General features: G+C 41.5%; 1 protein-coding gene across 13 annotated transcripts in view; it reads left to right on the top strand.

Moving 5' to 3' along the window:
* Window positions 1-12,841, top strand: part of MFAP3L (microfibril associated protein 3 like) — a 40,676-nt gene that overhangs the window by 21,178 nt on the left and 6,657 nt on the right. For 6 of the 13 annotated variants that reach the window (XM_017008867.3, XM_017008865.3, XM_017008864.3 and 3 more), the window contains 2 exons: window positions 90-127; window positions 209-520. The exons of 1 other annotated variant lie outside the window; for it this stretch is intronic. In XM_017008867.3, the coding sequence (XP_016864356.1) occupies window positions 90-127; window positions 209-520 (350 nt within the window). Of the gene's footprint in view, window positions 1-89; window positions 521-2,322; window positions 2,430-3,873; window positions 4,136-11,771; window positions 11,808-12,841 lie in introns of those variants that run through there. 6 more of the 13 variants (XM_047416460.1, NM_021647.8, XM_047416461.1 and 3 more) reach the window with 5 other exon arrangements.

Here is a 12,841-nt window from a genome sequence, read left to right as displayed (position 1 = left end):
ATTTTAGCTGCATTGCTAACCGTTTATAGTGTTTTGAATGGATGAATGCTAATGTTTATGTGTATATATTTTTGTTTTCTTAAAAACAGGTTCTTGCTCAAGTACCAACTCTATGGACCCAGGACAGGTTTGTCCCATGACCTGCTGTGAACAGTGTGTTGTCTGATAGAAGATTCGGTTGGCAAACCATCTCTCTATTGCCTTACAGAGCAAGCAAAGAAGATGGATCGATTGAAGAGCCATCTGACTGTGTGCTTTCTACCTTCTGTGCCCTTTTTAATCCTAGTATCCACTCTAGCCACCGCTAAGAGTGTGACTAACAGCACTTTAAATGGCACTAACGTGGTCTTGGGCTCTGTGCCCGTAATCATTGCCAGAACTGACCATATCATAGTCAAGGAAGGGAACAGTGCCTTGATTAACTGTAGTGTTTATGGCATCCCTGACCCACAGTTCAAGTGGTATAATTCCATTGGCAAGCTGCTGAAAGAAGAAGAGGATGAGAAGGAGAGAGGAGGAGGTAGGCTTTAAAGTTGTATCAAATGTCATAATAAAATATAAACAGGAGCTTTGGAGCCAGCACCCGTGATGTTAGTTCTTCTCATGCAAATGATTTAAAGATCTCATCTTGTCTTGTTTTTCTAAGGCAGGAGAGAATATATATCCTTAAGGATTCAAAGAAGCAATTAATTCATTTTTTTCCCTCATTGACACAGAAGACAAAGGACAAACACAGAAGTCTTTTTAAAGGCTTCTTGGAATTTTGTAATATAATACATCCAATACATTATAGAGACAAATGTAAAATGGATTTTCCTAAATAATATATTCAATTTTTAAGGGAGTTTTGTTTTCTTTCATGGAGATGGCTGGAATAAACAATATAGCCATTGTTTATCATTAAATGTCCATTTAATTCATTGGCCGTGGATTTAAAGACCACACTTCTGAAAGAAACCTCAGTGCAAGTCTCAGCCACTGGCTGGGATTCCTGGAGACCTGGCTGCAGTTTCTAGGCTGAGGCAGGGAGGGAGGGAGGATGCAATAACAAGGAAGGATGTGGGACAACAGGAGACTGCTTGGTTTTTAATAAATGCATTTCTGACCAAAAAGTGTGAGTCACCTCACTCCGGGAAAGACTAGCCAGAGAGAGGATTGGGTCTTCGGGAATCGGTGCATTTCTTGTTTTAGATGCGAGAAGTAATTGTCTGAAAACCCAATCCTGGTCAGATTGACCAGAAGGAGTTAATCTGCTTTCCTAGGCATTTACTGTGTGAAGTAGAGGGGTTGGGGTGGGGGAGTGAAAAGAACATTGTTCTAAAGTAGCAGCTTATTAGTTTCTTCCATTCACATTGCCCTCCTGTTCCACAATTCTTTAACCAATGAGCAATCCCCAAAAGAGTTTCTGCTCCAGGAAAACCTACATTTTAAATCTCTTTCCCTCATTTTATCTTAATTGCCCTGAAAAAAGAATAGAGGCTAATGCTGTATATCTCCTTAGGAGCTAAGTGAATGGAGTTTTCTTGCAGTTGCCTACTTCTGGTTCACAGCTGTGTTCCGAATGGTTGAGGCTGCTAGCCGTCTAATTGGCCAGGATGTGGGGTTTGCTGTAGTGCTGTCACTTACATTGCTTTTGGTTAGCCAGTCAAGGTTGTAGAGCATTATAAAGCTTCTTCCTTTAAGTCAAAATATTACATATTATGAATCGCGTTTAACCTAGGAGAGTCGAACTTTTACCCACCAAGAGGAATTGTGGGACCATAGCAAAGTTAAATTAGAACTCACATTGAAGACATTATAGTTCAAATACCCATTTACTGAAATTTGCCCAAAGTCCTGCTATTATTAAGTGGCTATGACTAGGCCTGTAATCCCAGCACTTTGGGAGGCCAAGGCAGGCAGATCACCTGAGATCCAGAGTTTGAGACCAGCCTGGCCAACATGGTAAAACCCCATCTCTACTAAAAATACAAAAATTAGCCGGACATGGTGGCACGTGCCTGTAATTCCAGCTACTCAGGAGGCCGAGGCAGAATAATCTCTTGAACCCAGGAGGCAGGCGTTGCAGTGAGCAGAGATCACGCCACTGCACTACAGCCTGGGCGACAGAGTGAGACTCTGTCTCAATTTTAAAAAGTGGCTATAACAAGAACCTTCACTACTGACAGTGGAAAGGTGAGGGAACACAACCCCTAGCCCACACTGGTTTTGGTTCCTACAGCCACTTCCTCCAGGACAAGTCAGAAGGCAGTGATGTCACACTTGTGAATGGAGGGCAATAGCCATGGTAACAAAGACACTGCAGGCCAGGTACCTTAGCAGGTCTTTCTGCAGGGCTGAGCTATCGCTAGGGAACCCACGGTGACTGAATCAAAGGGAAGAAAGACCCAAGACCTGGATCTCCCTTTTACATGGACCCTAAAGCAAAGGTTATCCCTGGGTATTAAAAAGCTGGGTTGGGGCACTGAACTCCTCAGTCCTAGAGAGGAAGAGAACTGTGGGAATAGCATAGCACTGGGGCCTGAATTTCAGTTCCAACATTTCGAGGATTATCCCAAAGTGTAGTATCTTACTGCGTCTGAGATACATATGTGGTATCTTAGCGAAAAGGTCCTTGTAACTGCTGACTCAGCGTTGGCAAGCTGACTCTGCACCGTCCCTCCTTCATCTGTGTATTGAGGGCATTGAACTAGTTGGTAGTTATATTTGGCTCCATTTTCTTTTGTTTGTGGGTGCTAAGATGGACTATAGTAGTAGCCTGTCAGTAGACCCCAAGCTAGTGGCCGCCAGTCAAAAGCCTTTGCCACAGAGAACTGCTCCATCAGAATTCAGCACTCTGGTTTGTAGCCAGCAGCCTTGCTGATAAATCAGTTAGCTATTTTAAATCTCTTTAAAACTTTCAAGTTTTAAAAAGAACTCGTGATACTAGTACTTGATGTTCCAGCTCAGCTTTTGTAATTACAATGCATGATGGTAATTTCAGAGCATAAGCAACATGGGATAATATACAAAGCAGTGTACCTAACAACCAAGCAATACACAGAAAACAACAGAAACGAGAGATTCTTGCTCAAAAAATATCAGAATCTGAGAGCTGGAATGGCCTATTGGTAAACCCACAGTCTTTAACTTTTCATTTTTGAAGGGGGAAATGTCCATATTATAATATGGACATAGATTTCCATTTTCAAACCAATAGGCTAGAAGTTTATATGGAGCGGTGTTTTTTGTGTTTTGTTTTTTGTTTTTTTTTTTAAATAAAGAGGTGATTGAATATAGTATGAAAAATACTAGGCCAAGCGCGTGGCTCATGCCTGTAATCCCAGCACTTTGGGAGGCCGAGGTGGGTGGATCATGAGGTCAGGAGATTGAGACCATCCTGGCCAACATGGTGAAACCCTGTCTCTGCTAAAAATACAAAAATTAGCTGGGCGTGGCGGTGCATATCTGTAATCCCAGCTACTCAGGAGGCTGAGGCAGGAGAATCGCTTGAACCTGGGAGGCAGAGGTTGCAGTGAGCTGAGATCGCGCCACTGCACTCGAGCCTGGTGACAGAACGAGACTCTGTCTGAAAAAAACAAAAAAAAGAAAAATGATACTAATATCCTAGAACCTTACCTAGGTACACTAAGACTACTGTTAGAACCAAACTAACAAAATTATAATTTTCATTAACAACTGCTGCCATTTACTAAGTCGCTGCACCAAGTGACATATATTATTTCTAATCCTTATAATAAGCCCTACAGTGAAGTGTTATTAATCCTCATGTATACAGATGAGAAACCAGGTGAAACCAGAGGGTATGACACAACCAGAGTGTGGCCAGCGGGTATTCATTCTCCCTCTGTGCCCCACCACATCATCCTTTAGGTCCTGTAGGTGAAAAATGTTGAAGAGCCTCTCACTCAGACTGAGTGAATATGAGAAGAACTAGATGGAAAAGGCATCCTCACTACCGATAGCAAGGTCAGACAGTGTTAGGATTTGTGCCGGAACATGTGTGTGTACATGGCATGCACATGCACAAAAAGGCGTTCAAAAATCATCGGTGAGTCACTCAAGGAGCACACTGCCATTCACTTTGTGATTAGCCTGGAAAGGAGCAATTTCATGTCTCGTTTCTGCTGAAAAGGTGAGAGAGCTGTTATTCATGCCAGCCCCTCCAGGCCCAGAGAGAATGGGGCTATTTCCTGTCATTGGCAGGAGCAGCAGCTGGTTTGCTTTGCTTGCCTGGTGCTGTCACTTCAATTCCACAGGATCAGGAGAGGCTAATGTGTGATCTCTATCTGGAAGACTTTTGTTTTTGTAGTTCAGCAAAGAACCTGTTTGAGGTAGTCCACACACCATAAAGCAGACAACATGAATAACCACAAATGGCCACGAAATATACTGTTTTCAGTTTTCCTTTTGCTAGAAGTGAGTAGAAATGTATAGTAGCCAGGAATTAAGTCCTAACTATTTCAGGCACTAATTATCCAATGTGTTTTCACTGTTGCTTCTTACTGTGACTTTAAACCATTTACATTAACATTAGCACCTCTCTGAGATAAGTAACGAGGATTTCAAGAAAGTCAGCTGGTTTCAGCCCTTGTAAACATGTCTAGGTTTGTTAGAGATTAAGTTTGAAATTCTTCCATTAAGTTAGGTTTTTTACTTTTCCTGTGGATTTGTTTTCTGTGCTCTTGTAGTGTCTGGTTGCCAAAAACAATTAAGCACTGAGTCTACAATTGTCACAACTGCTACTATAGTGCTATGGAATTCATTATTATAAATTTTGCCTCTAGTTTACTTTGCTTTATTGTTTTTATCCCTCTACTTTTGCAGGTTTCTTTGAATAGATTGTAATATGCCTTTTAACTAGTTCTGCAAGGGACCATGACAAGCTGTGTCAGCCAGTGATAAGACTGTAGTTATCACCTCCCTACTTAATATTTATATATCAATAGGTCGGTGTCCACAGCATTAGATGTAAATTATCCTTTACCTCTAAGATCAGTGTGAAGTGGTGTATTAACCTGTTATACTGAATTCTTGTTTAGTATATTAAATACTTGAGATTTAAAACACTCATCAAGGCCATGTGCAGTGGCTCATGGCTATAATCCCAGCACTTTGGGAGGCCAAGATGGGAGGGTCACTTGAGCCCAGGAATTCAAGATCAGCCTGGGCAACATAGTGAGACCCTGTCTCTATGGAAAAAAAAAAAGTTAGCAGGGCTTGGTGGCACATACCTGTAGTCCCTGCTACTGGGGAGGCTGAGGTGGGACGATTGCATGAGCCTGGGAGTTTGAGGCTGCAGTGAGCCTTGATCACAATACTGCTTTCCAGCCTGGGCAATAGCAAGATCCTATCTCAACAGCAAACAGAACATCAAATGGTAGCAAACACAATTTATGATTTGTGAACATATGTACATATTATTGGAAAATATGTAATTATGAATATATGATTGGAAATTGAGAAGAATAACCCTATATAGTCTTTAAGGAAGTTCTTTGACTTTTCTCAACCACAGTCTTCTTGTCTGTGAAATAGAGATAATCCTTTTTTACTACAAGTGGGATTGTGAGTCTTAAATGCTTAGCAGAGGTACCTGGAATATAGCAAGCTCTCAGTAAGTGGCACTGCTATTATTATTGTTAATATTATACTATATCCTCACAATAATAGGTTTCAATTGCTAAAAATCCCTGTTTCTTAATATAGTGTGTTTTGTAAAGAAAGAGTTTTCTGGGTAATTTAATATCCTCTCTCTCAATTTCTCAACCTTTCCAAAACTCAGCAAATGCAAAAGAAATTCCTATCCCTTAAATGTTATTTGAAATTTCAAAATAATGTTCTGACTGCTATGACAGTGAGTTTGGGATTCTCTTCTCATCAGAGGCCTCCTTTCCTGGTGCATCACTTCTGCATACAAAGGGTCCTTTGATATCTAATGTGCTTCTACCTTGGAAGAAAGCAGTGTATGTGGAAATTACAAAGTATTATGCACCAGATGAATTTTGCATTTGCCTAACCCCGTGGTTCTCAGCTGGGAACTGTTTTCTCCACAGAGGACACGTGGCCAAGTCTGGAGACATTTTTGGTTGTCATAACCAGTAGGGTCAGGCTGGTTGTGCTCCTGGCTTCAAGTGGGTAGAGGCCAGAGATGCTGCTAAACAGCCTACATTGCACAGGACAGACCCCTACAATAAATAATTATCGAGCCCCAAATGTCAGTAGTACCCGAGTTGAGAAACCCTGCTGTAACCCAAAGGAGCAACCCCTTGGCTAACTAAAGAATCGTTCCAAAGTAGATCCCATAGAAGCAGTTTAATTTACTAAGGTTAATTTTCTGAATTGAGCCATATCAAATGCCAACCTGGTAACCGCCATTTGTGTGTTTCTTCAGTGAGTTGTGCTCCACTTGGGATGTGAGCCCAGATAGCTTTAGTCTTAGCAGTGAAAAGACCCTTCCAGATCCATTTCAGATATGGATGACAGCTAAGATTCCCAAAATGGAAGTGATTAATGTGAACTAAGTGTAGGGTGCTGTTATTTTGGAGGACCACCTGTAGCTACTCTCTAGAAAAGACTATTATGAGCCCATGTATTATGATTCCATGTTCTATGGAATTACATGCTTGGCACTCCTTTAAAAATTAAGATTACCAGACCAAATTAGCTAGAGGAACAGATGTTTCCTTTTCCAGGAAATAAAAAGACAGTAGGTTATTTTCAGATATTAGTACCTTGAAGTAGAACAGAACTACAGATTCTGAACAGCAAAATCCTTCCATCCCCACCTTCCTGAGTTGAAAGCTTGGCTAAGCCCATATTATCCCAGGCCACCTTCGCTCTACATGATGTAAGAATTAGCTTGTTAGAGCTGCCCTAGTCCTCTCTGAAGAGGTCTCTTGGGAGGGTTGTGAGTGGGGTTGGGGAGGCACAAGAGCACTTGCAGCTTCTGGGATTCATAACCTGATGCTGCAGTGGCTTCAAGGAGCTCTCATCTTCTGCAGATGCCTTGTAACAGGTGCAGCCATGCAGTGCTAAATTTGCTTTCAATTATGTTTGGTAAAAAGGCATGAATCCTATCTCTTCAGTAGCCTGTATTTCACAAAATATGTGCCACATTTATAGATACAAACACATATGCACGCATTTTGTGCTTCTTCAAAGGGTGCCGATTCTACGCAATCCTCGTTTGAATAAATGTTGTATTTCATTTATTGTTTGCATAAACATTTACTGGAACTCTCACTATCTGAATATTTTTAAATTAGTTTCAAGAAACTAACATACTCGTTTTGGCAGATTTAATTCTTCTCCTGGAAAAGCATGGGTGTGTGAGGCTTAAGAGCCAAAGTGTCTAAACAGGATCGTTAATACAGTTTTAATCTGTTTATACCACTCATTGGGAATGTAGACAAACCATACGTCCATCACTGTTTACACACACGCATTCATAAAAAGATTGGAAATTTTAAAAGCTTAGCATTTGGGTATAATTTTTTTTTTTCAGTCAGCTTTCTCAAGTTGAAAATGTTAATTTTTAACGCTCAGTGATCCTAAGGTAAACCTGGAAAGATTTAAGGTTTCAGTAGAAGTGGTGTTTGGAGAAAAGCTGTGATTACAGTACCTGTGGAGGTTGTGCTCTCACTTTCCCTGTGATTCTTCAGTTCAGAATGCGTTGCTCATTGCTGCTCCTTGCTGTACAGCAGTAATTTGCTCAGAAGTTGTTTGTGTGAGCGTTAGTTCTGATGTTGTCATCTGTTGGTTTCACACTAAGTCACAGTCACCCCTGTACCATAGAATCTCTTGTATTTACAGGTTTAATTGTAACCATAGGATGCTATTGATCTGTTCTCTCATTGCCAGATGGGCTACCTGGCACTGTCCTATTGAGGAGACATTGGGCCATACCACGTGGGCATGCCACCATGGCGAGCACCGTGGTCCCAGGTCAGCTGCCTTCCCGGTGTGGAACCCACCACAGTTATGGCTTCTCCCAGAGAAAGTGAGCTGGAGAGGAAAGCTCTGAACTATGTCCCTGGGAAGAAACACTGTTCTTAAAAAGATTTTTTTTATTATTATTACGTTGTTTGGTTTACATCATTGCTGTTTTTCCAGTCAACCTAGGCTTGCCTGATTTGAAGAATTTCAAGAAGTCTAAGAGTGGATCATAGGCTACCTTCATTTTAAGTTGTGATCAAATCATCCTTCCAACAGTGTTACCAGCCTGACAACTACCTGCAGTGCATGGGAGTGTCCCTTACCCTACATTCTCAGCAATATTAAAAAAAAAAAAAAAAGAATTAATGAAAGGAGGCCGAGCTGGGCAGGAGTCGGCCATCCAGGCTGCGGTGAGTTGTGTGTGATAGAAGGGCCGTGAGCTACCGGGCCTGCCCCTTATACCTACCCAGCCAGGCAGCCGTCACTTTCCACTGCCAACAATGTCACTAGCGACTCCCCTTTATTCTGGCAACCTGAGAGTTGAAAAAGTTGTTTTAAAAATGACTGTGATCTCTATAATCATAATTTACATATTAGTGATTTTCTACACATAGACACCATTCACATTTCTTGTTTTTGCCAATGATCTGTTCATAGCCTTTTCCCATTTTTTCTTTTGGGTTTGTCTTGACTTGCTTGATTTAGAGCTGTTCATTATGTTTTAGAGTCATTAAGTATTTGTCAAACATTCTAGAATTTTCTCCTGGCCCGTCATTTGCTTTTAACTTTAATATGGTGTATTTTATATTGAAAAAAATTAATTTAGGGGAAATCTGATCCACTGGTGTTTTCCTTTACAGCTTCTGAGGTGTTTGAAATGCTTAAAAAGGACTTCCTATTTCCAGGTTATAAAAATATTTTATATCCTCCATTAATTTTATACTTCTAATTTTATGTTTAGATCTTCGGAGTAGTTGGAATTTATTTTTATGTATCACATAAAGTAGGAATTTGCCTTTATTTTCTTGCAAATGAACAGTCATCTATCCCAATAGTCTTCCCTGCCCCTCCCCCCACAATTTGAAATGCTGTGGTCTTCATCTTTAAACTTCTCACGCTTGGCTGCATCTGGTTCTGGACTTTCAGGTTTCCTCCACTGATTTAATCAGAGTTCACACAAGGCTTTATTGGGAAATGGAGCAAGACTTGAGGATGGGGTCTTAACTGGGCTAAATGTGTGAGGCTGGGACTTGGGGTGGGGAGGAAGAAGTCCTTGCAGGCAGAGAGGGAGCATGAGGGAAGGTCCTGTGGCCCCTCTAAGAAATACAGTAAGGCAAACCTGTCAGGGGAAAAGTCATGTAAATGAGGTCGTGAAGCAGGCGGGGCTCCAGGTCTCCTGCAGGATAGATATAAAGCTCTTGCATATTTGGGGGTCCTCCTGTAATCCAGCCCTGCCTTCCTCCATCTGAGCCCTTCTCGGTTTTCTAGTGGTCAGCTCCAGCGGCTCACAGTGTTCTCTCTTGTGCTCATGTGCTCCCTGTGACCTCAAAAGTTCTTTCTCTTTTACTCGCATTCCTCTCCCTACCTGTGCCAGCGGATCTGGCTTAGCAGTGGCCTCCTCTAGGAAGCCCTTGCTCTCTGTCCCCTTCAGTCCCTCCCAGATGCCATTATACTTAACCACATGATGCTGTGGTTGTGTCTCGGAGTCTGTTTTTCTCTTGGAACTGGATGTTTTATTGCAGTCAGGGGTCGTGTCTAACTCATCTTTGTATTCCCATCATCTAGCTTGGAGCCTGGTACACAGTTTGCTCAATGATATTTGTTGACTGAATTAGTGAGCAAGATAAAAAAAGATCACTGCCCTTCTACAAATGTCAGCTTTGTTGTGTGGCATAACCCATGCCCTGCAGTACAGCTCAGAAACAACATCTGGGAGATTTTCACATTTAACTCGTGTGCCTGGAGTTTCTTGGGGAAGACTGTGACAGGTCCCTGGCAATTTCTGGTCTCCAGGAGATGTGAGATGCAGCAGCCTTTGTCCTGCAGCGTGTGTGAGCATTTTAGCCTAAAGCCTCAGGTGTGCATCACTTTCCAGAACAGGAGCTGAGAGAGAGGGGATGGAGGAAGGGTATTTCAGGGTGGGGGGTGGGGGGTGGCGGGGCTACAGTCTGCTCAAGGGACAGGAAGTGTGTAACTGAGCCCAAGTGCAGGAAGAACGTGAGAGTCTTTTCTATTCAGAAGGTTATGGCGAGATGGCTGCCTATGTTGTTTCTTCCAAAATCATTGCATGTAGAACTGACCTGGCATCTGCTACTGACATTTTGGGTTTTATTTGTGCTGAAGCAATGCAGCTTCATGAACATTCAGTGCATAAGCTTGACATACCCACTCAGTTACAGTTTAAAATACATGGGGACTGCACTGTGTATCCCCACTTCGCGTGTAAAGCCCCGAAGATCTGTGATAGTCACCGTGGGTGTTTGTATAACTTTCTGGAAGCTGAAGTCGGGACCCTTCTAGAATGAGATGCAGGGCCAGGTATTTATAGACCGATGCGAATGGTAATGTGCAGCAGCAAGAACGTTTTCGAGATGTTCCTGTCTGGACAAGTGCCGTGTGGATGGAGATTCTTCTTGAGCATGAGCCCAAAGCTGATGCGGGAGGAGCCTCCAAACAGAATTTGCACCATCTTTAGTTTTCAGAGCTGTACGTGGCAGTAGAATGTGCAGAAATCTTTATTTTTCACTAATGGAAGGGCAGGCTGAGGCTGAGAGGAAATATTTGGAGTCTTGGTTCCCAGAACGAATTAATATACTGGCCTTTACAAAAAAGGGGGTGGGGGAATACAGACGTACACAACCTTGGAGGCTACGGGACCTTAGTTCTCTTCTATGATAGTCTTAGAACTGTGTTGGCTTCCAAAGACTTGGACTCGCTTTGTGGTCTGGTAATAGTATGTTTTAATCCAGGTCACATACTCATTTTATCATATCTCACCCAGAATTCTAAGTGACATTAACATTACCTTAACCCATAAAATAAAGATGATGATTGTTTCCAGAGGAATCTAGTAATGGACTGAAAACGAAAGAGACGTTTTGGTATCCTTGTCTTCCATTGGAAACAGGAAATTGCTGGCAGAGAGAGCTGTGATGATCTCATTTAACTAGATGGTTACAGCTCATGCTATAGGTAATAACCCACCTGCTTTAGGATTATAATATATGCACTCACATTTGTCATAGTTTATAGTTAATATAGTCACTTCACAGATATATGACTGGGCTTAAAACTTTCAGAACAAATAAAATTAAATATTGGATAAAGTATATGAAAACCATTAGTCTGTGGACCCAATGTGCTGGGCTAAGAATCTGAATATACTCCTAAGTAATAATTTATCTGTTAGACATCTCACAGATTTCCCCAAAATGAACCACACATATCACCTAATTAGACTGCATTTGATTCCAAGCTATGCCCCTTTTAACAATGTCACAAGAAATGTTTGAAGTGCCTGTAAGTAGTTGTCTAAATTGAACTGCTTGGTTGTAGATTAGAGAAATACATATCAATACACAATTAAAATCATATCTGAAAACTCAAAGTTCACGTTCAGAAACATTTTTAAATATTCAATAGAGGAAAGCATTGGGATGTTGTAACTAGTATTTTCACATTTTATTTTTCTATAACAATTAGAACATAATGATCACTAAAGTTGTAACTTAGGTTTGGGGAAAAAGCTGTTGGTATTACCATCAGATGCCTGTCTTGTTAGTGTTCTCCTCTTCTGTACCCAGGTTCAGACTACTTTATCCTTATATTTACAGATAACTGTTCCAAAAAGTGGTACGGATGGGGAGGAGGTAAACAAACTGATCCTAACCATTCTTCACACAAATAACCTCACCTTCTCACCCTCCTCCACTCTATTTTCTGCTATATTTTCCAACAAAAGGAAGGTAAATATGAGAAACTACAAGCATAGCCTGTAAGTCTCTAGAACCCAATGTCTTCTCTATGGAATAAGCTTTCAATCAGTTAGACTTTTGTTCTGTTTTTGTCCATGCCTGCTGTAGTCTACTTTTATAAGACATGCAAATTATAAGAAAATAAATTGACAAGGTAACTTTCCTGGCCTCAGGTCATTGTATATTTGAAAAAATCTGCAGCTGAAATATCAAAATTTATGTTCATGGGATGAAAGTATTAGAAGCCTTGCCCATGTCCCATCTGAATTAGCGAGAATTTCACAGACCGAGTAGGTTGGTTTGTTCATACACATTCACAAGAAGCTGAAAATTCACTAGATTTTCCAAGCCAGTGTTTTCTACTCTTGGAGGAAATACACTGGCTGAATTGTTAGAAAAGGGTTACTCAGGGACACCAGAAACTGCTCTTCACAGATGTTCTTTCAGAAGGCACAGTCATGTGACAGCATCCACCGAGAGGCTCCCGCCAGATTCCCCCTGGCCAGTGGGCAGGAGGAACTGTAGAACCCCGGGAGGTACCTCATTGACACGTCCCGCTTCCTTAAGAAAGTTCCTTGGAGCAGAGGACACTGCGGGAAAACAGGCCCTGTGTTGCCTTATTCCGTAGTCCATTGGAACCCTGTATTAACAACAAAAAACAACAAAAAAGAGTTGCTTTTGGGAAATACCAGGCTTTCTATTAGAATTAAAACTCACTACCATAAGGAGAGCAAACAAATAATATACAGTGCAATAATAGATACTTGAAACTGCGTTCAGTTGCCCCAGCTCTCAGGAGAGGTTTCTCTAGTCGGCTCGGGGAACTAGAATGTTTTTATGGAGAAATATTTGCCTGTTCCTTAGAACTCCCCAAAAGCCTAACTGGGATCTTCATTTGCTCTATGGGACAGTCCAGGGAGGTAGTAGGG

This window comes from Homo sapiens, chromosome 4 (genome assembly GCF_000001405.40).
Source record: "Homo sapiens chromosome 4, GRCh38.p14 Primary Assembly".
NCBI lineage: Eukaryota > Metazoa > Chordata > Mammalia > Primates > Hominidae > Homo > Homo sapiens.
Note: the sequence above shows the minus strand (reverse complement) of the source record. Positions and strands in the feature narration are given on the sequence as shown.